This window comes from Homo sapiens, chromosome 4 (genome assembly GCF_000001405.40).
Source record: "Homo sapiens chromosome 4, GRCh38.p14 Primary Assembly".
Lineage (NCBI taxonomy): Eukaryota > Metazoa > Chordata > Mammalia > Primates > Hominidae > Homo > Homo sapiens.
Genome location: NC_000004.12, coordinates 113,514,069 through 113,529,021, shown reverse-complemented (window position 1 = coordinate 113,529,021; position 14,953 = coordinate 113,514,069). Strand labels below are relative to the sequence as shown.

Here is a 14,953-nt window from a genome sequence, read left to right as displayed (position 1 = left end):
GCTACTTAATTAATGGGTAAGGTCTTAGGAATGCCCCAAGCTCTGTCTTCCTGCTACCTACCTGAGAGTATCTTCTAAGCATGAACTCTAAGGCATGAACTCTAAAATGCCTTGAATTAGAGCATTGTCACAAAATATCTTTGTTCAAATCTAAATGTTAATGGAAGATATCTCAGATATTTTCCTTGCAATAAATCAGCTCCCAGCATACATAGATCTGTTTCTGCTGATGAATTTAAAAAGCAACAGAGTGGCCTGAGACTCAGGCAGACACAGACAGGTTTTGTGAAGGATACAATCATATTTTTTAAAGTATTTTTAAAACATGATAAAGCTATATTTTTGTAAAGATAGGGGGTTGTAGCTAAAACGCTGCATTTGGACCTTGAACACTAGAGGGATAGTGTGGCATACAATAGTCAGTAACCAAGGGAAGCAGGACTCAGCATAAGGGACATTTCATACTCTTTCTTTGCCTGCTTCATCAAAGGCCTTTTCCAGCCTCTTCTGCCTTTGTGTTTATCTCTCCTTGTTTTCCTAGTTTCCTTCCTATTTTCTACTTTTTTTCTTCATCCCTCCTGTCTACTTCATAGGTAAGAGGCAGTATGTATAGTGGTTAAGAGAACACACTTAGCTTCTCAGTTCACTTGCTGTATGACATGGCACAAATTCTTTAGTCCCTGTGTCTCAGTTCCCTCTTAGAAATGGAGATCATCAAAGTTCTTGCCTCATGGGACTGCAGAGAGGATTTTTTAAATACAGTAAGTGATAGTTATCATTGCTATTATTATACAAAGTCTTTATTTATAAATGAAGTTTCTAGATAACTGATATATGCATTATAGTAGGCTTAAAAAACAAAGTGTATTATATAACTCAGCATTATTGGCGTGATTATCAGTAGAATGCCCTCATCTGATGACCTGAATACCAAATTCTCTCTCTCCCTCTCTCTGCTTTCTTTCTTTACTTTTAAATTATTTTCCCTTGTTTTATTTTGTAAAAGGTGTTATTATGGACAGATTTCACAGCTTCTGAATCATATTTTACTCTGCCAAAGAATTTAAATAAATTATTCATTTGTTCTTATATCGAAAACATTTTTTCATGTTTCAAATGTGTCACCATAAAAAATGATAGACAAGTGAGGTGATAGATAGGTGAGTTAGCTCTATTTAATTATGCCACATTGTATATCTGTAAATATCAAAACATCATATTATACCCCATAAATGTATTCAATCATAATTTGTCAATCCAAAAAAATTAAGAATTTTTTGAAAATTTAAAACCTTTTTTTATAATGTATAAGTTTTATTGGTGTTGAAGAATATCAGATCCACTAAAAAGAAACCCAAAAAGCTAATAGTTTATGCTAGGGATTCTTCTCTGGCTGTGCAGAAAAATCAATGATGAAGCATATACAGGCAAACCTCAGAGATATTATGGGTTTAATTTCTGGTCTCACAATAGAACAAATATCAAAATAAAGTGAGTCACACAAATTGTTTGGTTTCCCAGTACATATAGAAGTTATGTTTACAGTGTACTATAGTCTATTAAGTATACGATAGCATTATGTCTAAATGCACATACCTTACCTAAAAAATACTTTAAAATAGCCAGGCCCAGTGACTCATGCCTGTAATCTTTGCATTATGGGAGGCCAACCCAGGAGGATCTTGAGTCCAAGAGTTTGAGACCAGCCTGGGCAACATAGGATGACCCATCTCTACAAAAAGAAAAAAGAAAAAAAAAAACTGTATTGCTAAAATATCATCATCATCATCTGAGTCTTCAGCAAGTTGCAATATTTTTGCTGAAGAGTCTTGCCTCAGTGTTGATGGCTGTTGACTTATCAGGATAGTTGTTGCTAAAGGTTGGGGAAGCTGTGATAATTTCTGAAAATAAGACAACAATGAAGTTTGCCACATCAGTTAACTCTTCCTTTCATGAAATATTGCAGTACTCACCAAAATGTGACACAGAGACACAAAGTGAACCCAAGTTGTTAGGAAAATGGCACCACAGACTTTCTCAATGCAGGGTTATCATAAACCTTCAGTGTGTAAAAAATGCAATATCTGCAAAGTACAGTAAAAAAAAAAAAAAAAAAGCACAGTAAAACCACATATGCCTTTCTATCAAAATGCCCAGATCCTGCATGGGCCTCTGCTTTAGTGGATCTGTGGTAAACACAGGCAACTGCATTTTTAATAACCTATGATGTATTATCAGAGTTTGGATTCACTGTCTTAGACTCACAAAACACACTATGTTCAATTTTAATATTACTTTGGAATATTTGATTTTATGTGGATTGTCTGAGTACATTTCTGTAATACAGTTCATATATCTAACCTTTTAAAATAATGGAATATCTTATAATAGTGAGATTTCATATCTGTGAAATGTGAGAGAACTTATAAGTTAGAAGCTCTAACTTTCTTGTCTGGAAGAGGGAAAAAGGATAGGTAGAGAGTAGTTTCCATCTTTGTTTTCTAAACTATATAACATTTTGTTAGGTGTTAAGCAAATATTAGATAGATACTACGTACACATGTGCATACATGCATGCACACACACACACACACACACACACACACATCAAGAATGACTCCTTAGAAACTTATAGCCATAGGGCATCTCATAGATTTTTAACCCCAATTTTGCCACCTTTCACCTTGCTATATTGTATCCTTTCTTCACATAATATTATGCAAACAGCCAAATTCCTTTGTGATGAGCCTTGCCCCAGTTGGAGCATGTATGTGCCACCAATTTCCATTTCTTTAGAGACTGTGTGGACGCTTTGTCTAGAAATGCACTTGAGATCACACAGCTATGAAAATGTCTTAAGTGTTCTAATATCACATGTTGAGGGGAAATGACTCCCACTAGAACATTATAATGTATTCTTTTGTTACATATCTTGGTCATTGTTGTGGGATTTGGAATTGTTTTACCATTTTATTATATATCACCTCACTCGTGTGACATGAAAGTGACATTAATTCACTTTATTTGTAAGGTGATGTACCCTTAAACTCATCATCATTGTAATCACCACCACAGTAATGGACACACTATTTGGTTGCTTTTAGGTTGTGGCTTATCCTGAGGGAAACTCTTTTTTAGCCATTCATTAGCACTGTCTCTTGCCAATTAAGTAGTGACTTATTTTCAAGAGTAGACACTGGGTTGAGTGGTAAAAAATTACACTACTCAGAAAACAAAAGAAATGCAAAACAAGCCATTTAGCAGAAAGGCAGCTAGCCTTCTATATGAATTAAGCTCTGAACCCTCATTACAGCAGAGCAGAGTGAAGCAGGGCATTGGTATAATGACTAAAACAAGCCTGTACATTATTTTTATTAGAATCATGCAATTATCTGCACACAGGAAATCTCGAATTCCAACATTACCTTGCTTTTGTGATCGCACACAGAGTATGGTCTGACCTGTACTCTCTCTTTGGAAGCAACTATTCCATTACTGGAAAGCAAATAATAAACATTAATGAAGCAAGAACATAGCCTTGTGTTCTGCCATTAACAGCAGTAAATTGATTTTTATGACTTAATTGTATGTATAACTGCTTCCATAATTTCCTAATGGGATGAGGAAATGTTTGTGGATGTCACTGGATCACAAATTTCTAACAGAGCTTCTTCTACAATTTGGCCTAAAAATAAATAAATAAATGCAAGCCTATAACATAGGTCTCTCCCGCACCCTATGTACATATGTGTTGTCTTGCTACTTTTCTGCCTTACTTAGGTATCACTCTCAACAGTTATGAGTGATAATAAATTAGTGGCTGTCACAAATGTACCTTGACTTCGGACAAACCTTGGGAATTTTATGGAATATGTTTCTTCTTTTCTTGTGTGGTGAATTTAGGTTCAGCAATGATGTGTTTTCTGGGGTTTAACCTTTTCATATTTCAGCTGGTGTAAGTCATTATCAGTTACTTTAGTCATTTTGAAATCCCAAGCCTACTGGATATTCTGTTGCTATTACCAGTTCTGAGGTTACCTTACACTTGGCCAATCACAGATAGGCCTCCAGATTAGAAGCCTTCTGCCTTCATCCATTCTTACCCACATCTCCAACAGTCTTCAGTTCATGGAGCCTTACTCCCAATCATAGTCTTTACCAATATTCTCTTACTCTGAACTTACACACTGTCTTAAATTTCTCTACATTTACTATGTCTGGTTTCCCTAACTTGGTGTTTTTCAAACTCTGAAACACAAACCACATGGTTCATTCAGAGTGACCTAAAGTGCACCCTCCTGAGATCTACCTCAGGACCATTGAATCAGATTCTCTGGGGCCACAGGATGCAGCAATCCCACTTCTGGTTATATATCCAAAAGAATTGAAAGAAGCACCTTGAAGAAATATGTGTACACCTATGATCATAGTAACACTATTCACAACAACCAGGAGGTGGAAGTAACCCAAATGTCCATTGACAGATAAATAGCTTAAACAAAATGTGGTTTATACGTATAATTGTATATTATACAACCTTAAAAAAGAAGGAAATTCTGTCCCGTGCTACAACATGGATGAACCCCAAGGACATTATGCTAAGCAAAATAAGCCAGTTACAAAAGCACAAATATTATTATGATTCTACTCACATGAAGTATTAAAACAGTCACTTTCATAGAAACAGAAAATAGAAAGGTGATTACCAAGAACTAGAGAGAAAGGGGAAATTAGTGTTTCATGTATATAGAGTTTCAGTGTTGAAAAATGAAAACAAACTGGAGATCTGTTTCATGACAGTGTAAATGTACTTAGTACTACAAAACTGTTCACTTAAAAATTGTGCATCTGGCTGGACATGGTGGCTGATGCCTGTAATCCCAGCACTGTGGGAGGCCAAGGTGGGAGAATCACTTGAGCCCAGAAGTTTGAGACCAGCTTAGGTAACATATAGTGTGACCCTACCTCTACAAAAACAGAAAAAATTAGCCGGGCATGGTAGCACACACCCGTAGTCCTAGCTACTCTGCTCGAGAGGCTGAGCCCGGGAAGATCATTTGAGTCAGGGAAGTTGAGGCTGCAGTGAGCCATGTTCATGCCACTGCACTTCAGCCTGGGTGAAAAAGAGTGAGACCCTGTCTTTAAAAAACAAAACAAAACAAAAAAACAACAAAAAAAAAGATCTGTTTTATGTACTAATTATTTATTTATTTGTTTGTTTGTTTATTTATTTATTTATTTATTTATTTCGAGACAGGGTCTGGCTCTGTTGCCCAAGCTGGGGTGCAGTGGCACCATCTTAGCTCACTGCAACCTCCACCTCCCAGGCAGAAGTTATCCTTCTGCCTTAGCCTCCCCTGTAGTGGGGACTACAGGTGCACACCACCACACCCTGCTAATTTTTTACTTTTTGTAGAGACAGGGTTTTGCCATGTTGCCCAGGCTGGTCTCAAACTCCTGAGCTCAAGCAGTCTGCCCACTTCGGCCTCCCAAAGTGCTGGGATTGAAAGTGTGTGGGACCTTTTTTTATGTACAATTTAAAGTCACTGTGCGGGACCTTTTTTATGTACAATTTAATGTCATGTGTTTAAATTTAATGTTAGGTATTTTTAGCATAATTTAAAAAAAAAAAGATTCACTGAGGTGAGGCTCAGGAATTTGCACTTTAACAAGCGCACCAGGTGATGTTGATGCAACACCAAAGCTAAGCAATACTACCACAGCTAATTTCAGATTCCTTTAGGAGAGCAGTTTTTAGGATTATTACAGGATATGTCAGAGGTTGCAAACAGGTGAAGTCTTAGTTCAGGCTGCTATAACAAAGTCACATAGACTGCGTGGCTTATAAACAACGAAATTTCTTTCTCATAGTTCTGGAAGCTGGAAGTCTGTGATCAGGGTGCCACCATAGTCAGGTCAGGTTTTGGTGAGGGCCCTCTTCAGGGTTACAGACTGCCAACTTTTTGTTGTATCCTCACATGGTAGTTAAGAGAGCTAGCTAGCTAGCTGCCGTCTTCTTAAAAGGGTGCTGTTCCTGTTCATGAGGGACCCATCCTCATGGACTAAATATCTCCCAAAGGCCCCACCACACCAAATACCATCACATTGGGATTTGGATGTCAACATATGAATTTTGAGAGCCGTACAAACATTCTCTCCATTGCAGGCAGTCTGCTGTCTTAGTCAGACATGCGGACATTTTATTCTTATGAGTGTTGATGTTAATTATTTATCTTTATAATTTATTAGCAAGTAATTTCTATAAAAACTATCAGTTTCTTGCTTCTCTAAAATAATCAAAAGAACAGGTGATGCAATGCTTTTGCTCTTTTATAGTAATTGTACCTGTCAGACACATGAACACAGCTGCCGCCCTGGTGACCACCCCACCCCATACACAGTACAGGTGCAGGCCTTCATCCCTGCCTGCTGCCAAAAGGCCTGTCAGTTTGCCACTCCTACTACATGGCATAGATAGTTTCCATCCTCTGAAACATGCCTTCCTATCTTGCTGGCATTGATCTTCTAGCTCTTTGTTCTGCCCTTCATTGGCCATTTAGGTCAGAGTGTTAGTTGAGCACTTTCTCTACTTGAAATGTATGATGATTTTCCATTAATCATACTACAACAAGGTAAGAGAGAGCCATACTTATCACTCATGTAATTAATTGTGTACTTCCAAGTTCCACATGCATTTTGCTTATAAGTTTATAATGTACCCCTTTATTTACTTAGAATATTCAGTAACTGTCTTAGATTCTTCCATTAACTTCCTACTATCTTCTCAGAGTTCTCCAACATTCCTTCTTCATCTCTCCTTTTGTAAGAACAGCATTTAGAATGTTTAATTATTAACAAGATTATAGGTTTAACAACTTTTTTAACATTAACTTTTATTAAAATCAATTTTGAATGTTCTCGATGATATAGTCTTTCTACCTAATTGTAATCAGTGCTTCTCAAAAGTCTTATTAACCGGACATCTCTAGCATCTCCCAAGCACAAATATATACATAAGATAAGGAAAACTAGTTTTAATATCTACCTGTATATGGAACCAACTCTATCAAAAATAGTTTTAACTGTTTGTCATGGAACATGTGAAACATAAAATGGAGAGAATACTATAATAAACTGATGGCTAATCTTATTTCATCTATTTCCTCCCTTTCATTTCCCACTCCAATATTATCTTAACCAAATTGAAACATTGTATCAATACATCTATAAATATTTTAAAGTATATCTCTAAAAGAAAAGGACTCTAAATATGACAGTAATATTAGTTTTAAAATTTTAATAATTATTGCTTAGTAACATCAAAATATCTAGTCATTTTCCTATTTATCCTCTCCTGTCATAATCTTGTTTGGTCTCTTAGGTCTCTTAGTCATTCTTAATTTGTAATTTTTGCTCCATTCTCTCTTCTGTCTCCTTATTTCTTGATTTATTTTTCAAAGAAAACTGTAGCTCCAAGACAGCACATGTAAGTGCTCAATCTTGGTCTCTAGATACTATTTACCATTAAAAGGAACCAGAACTTTCTGTAATAGCAGCTGATTTCAAGTTTAGAACAGGAAAAAAGCAAGATGATCCAGGAGCATCTTGTCATACCACAAAGAAAAACTATTAAGGACCACAGAGTTTATATTAACAGATGCAGGAACCACTTTGAGGAGGCTGGCACTAGCCAAAGATGGGGCAATTGAGAATCAATAAGAAAAATAACATAATAGATTGAAATACATCAAGTAAGTTTAAATCCAGGAATTGATAATGATAATCAAAATTCAACAGAAGTCCTAACCTTTGGGGGATGTTGGGGAGCCAATGCGTTATTTTAAAAACTGGCTAGTAAAGAGGAAAATAAATAAATAATAGCCTATCTTTCCTATATGAACTGTATCTTAGGCCAACCAAGTGGATAAGGAGCAAGATTTTCTTAGTCTAAAGAAAGCATGATATAATTAGAGTATCATCATTTTGTTTGTTTGTTTGTGAGTCTCACTCTGTTGCCCAGGCTGGAATGCAGTGATGTGATCATGGTTCACTGTGGCCTCGAACTCCTGGGCTCAAGTGATCTTCCCACCTCAGCCTCCCAAGTGGCTGGGACTAGCTGTGCATTCCACCACACCTGGCTAAATTTTTCTATTTTTGGAAGAGACAGGGTCTTGCTATGTTGGCTAGGCTAATCTTGAACTCCTGGGCTCAAGTGATCCTCCTACATCAGCCTCCCAAAGTGCTGGGATTATAGGTGTGAGCCACCATGCCCAGCCATCATTATTTTGCAACCCCAGTAAAATTATGTAGGCAGTAATCATAAAAGGCTGCTAGTGTCATGAGAGATACCCAACATTTGGAGGTCACATCATCACCCCTCAAGTGGTCTCGCAAAAAAAAGACTTCTTCATTGACTTTTAATGATTTTAGTACTTTAGGTATATGGGCAAAGAAAAAGAGCTAGTGATTTTTTCCTTTCTTTTTTCTCTGACATAGAAAAAAGGTAAAATTTAGGTTTATTAAAAAGATAAATTGGGCTTACTCATGAGGCAAGAACTCAATTAGAACAACAAACACTTTTATTTTATTTTATTTTATTTTTATTTTTGAGGCAGAGTCACAAGACTCTGTCACCTAGGCTGGTAGAATTCAGTGGCACGACCTTGGCTCACTGCAACCTCCACCTCCTGAGTTGAAGCGATTCTCCTGCCTCAGCCTCCCGAGTAGCTGAGACTAAAGGCATGTGCCACCATGCCCGGTTAATTTTTTTGTATTTTTAGTAGAGACAGGGTTTCACCATGTTGGCCAGGCTGGTCGTGATCACCTGACCTCAGGTGATTTGCCCGTTTTGGCCTCCCAAAGTGCTTGGATTACAGGTGTGAGCCACCACGCCCGGCCTAGAACAACAAACACTTTTAAAATAAGCATTTGTTTAGAGGACCTAGCTAAAGGAAAAAGTAGCTGCAAGGAACATTTAAGATAGGACCAAATGGACATCTTTGCTAGTATGTCAAGGTCTCTCAGTTAGACAACACAAAGTTTTAAATTTTATATTATCATTCCTACTAAAGTTCATAGATAAAGAAAAAGTGGCTGCAGGGAATGTTTAGAGCATCATTATGTCTGTCCTGCTTGTGGTTGAAACAGTTACTTAATCTCTCAGCCTGTTTCTTCATCTATAATATAATGCAGATAATAACAATATCTACCTCATAGCATTATACAAGGATTAAATGAGATAATGCATTAAAGCACACATAACTCTGAATAAATGTTATCTACAATAAAATTTATTAGTATTACATTATCCTTATGCCATGAGTCTCATACTTGTTCTATACATTCAGAAAATAGAACTACAAAATAGCATAACTCAGAAAGGTTTTAGATGCTTGTTTAATAATCAAGTTGAAGTAAACTTACAAAACGGTGTTTATTTAAATAGGCACTGACAATTTCACATCAGGCTAGTCAATAGCACCTATAATATGTTTTTTTTTTAAGTCTTTGGGCCTAAAAGTGTTTTTTTTAATCTTCACATTTATGCTATTATTTTATTTAAAGTACATGTTTTTGTAAACACTCCTCCATCAAACAGCTAAATTGTGGGCATCTATTACATATTGCCTGCTTTTCTCATGGAATGAGCCCTCTGTGAGCTTCCTCTTCCCAGAGAAGCACCACATCAACTGTCAACTGCAGACATAATTCATAAGGACAAACAGCCTATGTTGAGAATGCTAAATGTCTCAGTTGAGCCACTATTTCATAATTCTATAACAGCCTAATTCCAGATGTGTATTAGGAAAATGTTCATATTCAATGGAAACTATCACTATTACAAAGCAAATTTTCTTCTTAACCTCCTGGAACCTTATATAGCTGAGGGCTAAAACTACTCAGGTACAGCTTTTTTTCTACTTGCCTCCTGAGAACACAAAGAGAAACACTCATCATCATCATTACTATCATCATTTTCATTAGATGTATGGAAAAATTATTTTTATGTCATGAAGGTGAGGTACCAATATACTGTGGTTTTCTTCATGGTCTTTTTTTTTTCCTTAAGAATGTTGTTTAAAATTTTTTATCCTTGTATTGATTCACATGACTTAAAAAATCTGCTTATGAACTGTATCTTCCTGAAGCAGGCTATAAAATTCTAAGATGATTAAACCATTGCTTAAAAACCATTTCAGCTGCTACAGTGTCTATTGTATAAAGATGTCCAGACTGCTGGACAGGAGCAGGGATAGATCTCCTAGGTACAGAGACCAAGAGACCACCTTGGATAAGGGAAAAAATAAGTCTCAGGGTACACCTGGCAAAGTGTCACCTGTCTTACTCTTCTTCTCAGGTTTCCTAGGCTTAAGGAAACATAGCAAGAAAAAAGCAAACAGGAGAGGTCAGAGGAATGACTGCCTTCCTCCAGGATAATGAGCTAGGAAAGAAACCAAAGGCCTTAAGCAAGGCAATAAAATACGTGAAAAGTGGCAGGAGAGATATTTGATGACAGAGAAGACCACTGTATCAAAACAATCTCAGACATTTAGACTGCAGATATGATTTCAGGGAAATTTACAAACTGTGAATACAGAATTTTTTTAATTTTAAAAGTGAAATTAGATTTTGGTTAATTTATAAATAATTATGTTTGTGAAAAATTTTAGCAAATTTTATTACAGCCATGTGTTTATTGTTATTATTACTTTGAATTTTCTGTGGAATTTCTCCCTTCTCTCCCTTTTTCCTCTCCCATAATATATATTCTTCTGTAGTCTTGTTGGTTTAGTTGTTTGACTGAGAAGGCTTGAAGTATTTGAAGACTAAGATTACTGAAAAGAAAAGGGTTTTGTCTCTATGGGGTACCCACATTTGCAGGGACTATGGTTATTTAGAACGTGGATTTATAACCAGGACACCATCACTCAACAAAATGTCCCAATGACCATCAAAACAAGTATGAGGAAATAAAAAACATGCTTAGTTTTTAAACTTCAACCTCACAGTGACTAAAATCATAGTCTCTATATAGATAAGAATGCAGTAAGACCCTCTATAGACAAGAGTTCAGGGGGGCCAAAGAATGTTGCCCTAAATGAATGTTGCCCTGCCATGCCTCTTTAGAATTCTTTGATGCATGCATTGACTGACACATTGTCAGAGTTCTGGAGCATAGGAGGAGAAGCATTCACCCTCCAGAGACTGCTCTAGACTAGATCATAACACATCTTTCTGAAGTTTTCCTACAATCCAGTTTTCTCTGTTTTAACAACTACGGCTTAATATCATTGTGGATCAGCCACATTTAATTTACTGTTGTCTATATGACTTAAATTGTGTTAACATTATATTCTCCTCCAGGTGTCATTCTCTATATTCTACTTGTGGGGTATCCACCCTTCTGGGATGAAGACCAACACAGACTCTATCAGCAGATCAAGGCTGGAGCTTATGATGTATGTAATAACTATTTATATCACTTTAGATGAAGGTTTGTCTTTTGCCTGTTGACCAAGAGCCAGATCTTTTCATTTTTCTTTTAACCATAATTTTTACCACTTTCTCATATTATTTCCCTCTCTCTTAAGGAAAGGGAGAAAGAAATGCAGCATTTGTATCCAGTTTACGTTTCCTTTTAACTCACTGTCTCCTAAGATTGAAAGAAAAGCCATGTGAAGTCTCTGAGGAAGAACTTTGTCAAAATATTTGGACCTTAGTGCATTTTAAAAACATAAAAATTAAAATATTTCTGCTATAGAAATGATTATTGCCTGTTTAGTTGAATTATATTCTCAAATATCTATCACATAATTTTATATTATATACCAACAATATTTTGCTGTGATCACATATCAAATAGAACATTATCCCACTATACCAGTTTCTGGGTTTTGTTTTTTGTTTTTGTACTGTTTGGGATACTATGCAAGCTTTCATTTGAAGAATGAGTTTCACAATTGAAAAATTTGAAAATCATAATTCTAATAATATATTTAATTTATAATTAGAATATTTGAAAGTAGATATATATATATACATTCATAAATTAAGTTCAGAATCTGAAGAGGAAGGCTTTATCTACTTTCTCTTTATGGCTTAACTTTGTGTTTATGATATAATTTGCTCTCCTTTGATACATATTCTTGTAAATATGATTTACCACTTTCTCAGGTTTCCCCTCATACAGCCCTATGGAAATCCATGTGCAGGGTCTGGGCATGCTTTCCATGTGTTATTAAGTAGAGTAACTACAGAGTAGCAATATTGGGTTCACCTTTTGTGCACAAGTTGAAAGCTCAATGTGAAAGTGAGAGGAGAAGATATAAAATGTCTTTATTATATTCTATAATGTCTCGTGAACTCTTCAATGCATTTCTGATAAAAATTTTCTATTTAGATGGATGTGTGTGTCAGCAAGAATTAAAAATGTATATTCTTTGAATTTCAAAGCATTGCATTATTCCTAGACTAGTAATTGGAACAAATTATTATTTACATGGCAATAGCTAGCACATTCACCATCTTTACAGACTAGAACCAGCCCCTCTCTGGGCAGACGTAGCCCTGAAAATGCACTGCTTGGTATACCTAGAGGAATGCTTTCATGAAAATTAGAGAACTGAGGAAAATGTTCACCTTTCTTCATGCTGAACCTACCGCTCATTTGCTATCAGAAGACCTGTACAACATTAAGAAACAGCCTCGTGTGTTTCTTTAACAGCTCCTAATAGTTAGCAAGCTTTTACAACTGCCAAAGATAAGCTTCAGGAATTAAAAAATGGCAATTGTTTAGCTGGCAAAAATTACAGATATTAGAGTCAATATCATTTTTCTCATGCTTTATTATGCCAGTGAGTCACAAGTTCCCCATTTTAAAACTACTAAAAATGGACTAATTTAATTCCATGACACAGTGGCAATGGCTTTATTTTTCAAGATTGTCCATACAAATTCATGAATTGGGAAAATAACCTGATATTCTATCATTTTGCAACTAATGTGGTGTAAATTTCCCTTCATCGTTGAAGGACAGTATTTCTACTAAATATGCTAATCATATAAAAGTAAGTTAAGTAATTATCACTACAAAAAATAATGTAAAGAAAGGAGAAGTAGCTTTCTTATATAGTCTTAATATAAAAAAGTATTAGTAATGGGAAGTTATAAGATTTGATTACTTTCATATACTTTGGTGAAATTTGTAATTGGGCAGATTAAACTTCTTGAAGGGTTAAAATGAAATCTTGCTGAAGCTCCTGTAGTCTCAGATTCTTCTCACTACAGCACTCCAAGTAGCCCTGATTAATAGGTCAGTTTTGGCACAGGAATTGAAGCTGTTTTATTACCTCTGCTATTACTGCTTATGAGTTGTGAAAGTATATAATACCTCATTTTGAACCTTGGCATAATATCATGATGACATTGGTACATGTAGCAACCTGTTTGCTTTTATTAAGTTTTGCAAATAATTATGAGAAAGATTGTATAAAATTTCATTTTCAGATCAAAGCAGAGATACTTTGAGAAGAATAGAAGATTCTTAAGTTCTTTTTTTCTGAATTTTAAAATGTATTTACCATATGTGATATGCAGCTCAGTACATATGTTGGTCCCTTATCAGATACTCTTTAATATATATAGTTGTCTACATAGAGGGGGAGAATAGATCTAAATGGTTTTATTTATTTTAGATACAACTTAACTTATATAAAAAGTAAATTTATGAAGAAATTCACTACTTGAGGGAATGATTCATGTAGTTGACTCTTCCCTGTTTGATCGAGTGTGTCTATTTTTTAAACTTTTTATAAATTTATATTTTTGAAGTTTCCATCACCAGAATGGGACACGGTGACTCCTGAAGCCAAAGACCTCATCAATAAAATGCTTACTATCAACCCTGCCAAACGCATCACAGCCTCAGAGGCACTGAAGCACCCATGGATCTGTGTAAGTAAAACTTCTCCAAAACTTCAAGAACTAAAATGAAAAATAAGCTCTCCTTTAATATATTGTTTATGGATTTAAAATAGCTTTGCAAAAAAAGATGAAACTCAGAATGAATGAATTTTTGACTCGAGGTGTTTAAGAAAATTAATTTTATGATGGTGAAAAAATGCAATTTTCAGTAGCAAAGTCTGAATTGCATAGATTCTTAAATAAATATTGCTTGCAGTAACAAAAGGAATGAGTATTCTCCATATCAATTATTAACAATACTCATGAACAAGGTTAAGAAAATAACACCAAAATTAAATGTGTCCCAGAAGAAAAGATTTAACAAAGTTCAATTATTTATCATTAGGCAACTTTAGAAACAAGTATGAAGTTTGGCAGCTGACAGTAGAGTTTCAGTGGCGTAAAATAATGGTCATAGTAGTCTGAATATATTTTAGAAATATTAAGAAGAATAGTGTGAAATTTGAGGGGGATCTGGAGACTTCAGTAAATTTCCAAATGTGTCAAATGCTAAGGTGATAAATGTGGCACTAAGTAAATGAAAGGCAGCTCAATCAAAATGTGATTGAAGACATTAAAATAAAGATAATTTGAGAAATTATTAATATTCATTTCTATACTTTCTGGTTTGGTTTTGTTTTGTTTTGAGACAGAGTCTTGCTCTTGTCACCCAGGCTGGAGTGCAATGGCACGATCTTGGCTCACTGCAACCTCCACCTCCCAGGTTCAAGCAATTCTCCTGTCTCAGCCTCCCGAGTAGCTGGGATTACAGGTGCCCACCACCACGCCCGGCTAATTTTTGTATTTTTAGTAGAGATGCGGTTTCGCCATGTTGGCCAGGCTGGTCTCAAACTCCTGACCTCGTGATCCACCCGCCTTGGCCTTCCAAAGTGCTGGAATTACAGGCGTGACCCACCGCGCCCGGCCCATTTCTATACTTTCTATACGTCAGTGTTGCATCTTGGTCACAAGTAGTCTTGGCAAAACTAAA

General features: G+C 35.8%; 1 protein-coding gene across 54 annotated transcripts in view; it reads left to right on the top strand.

Moving 5' to 3' along the window:
• Positions 1–14,953, top strand: part of CAMK2D (calcium/calmodulin dependent protein kinase II delta) — a 310,707-nt gene that overhangs the window by 232,717 nt on the left and 63,037 nt on the right. For all 54 annotated transcript variants that reach the window (NM_001321578.2, NM_001321577.2, XM_017008674.3 and 51 more), the window contains 2 exons: positions 11,365–11,459; positions 13,831–13,953. In NM_001321578.2, coding sequence (NP_001308507.1) covers positions 11,365–11,459; positions 13,831–13,953 — 218 coding nt within the window. The remainder of the gene's footprint in view (positions 1–11,364; positions 11,460–13,830; positions 13,954–14,953) is intronic.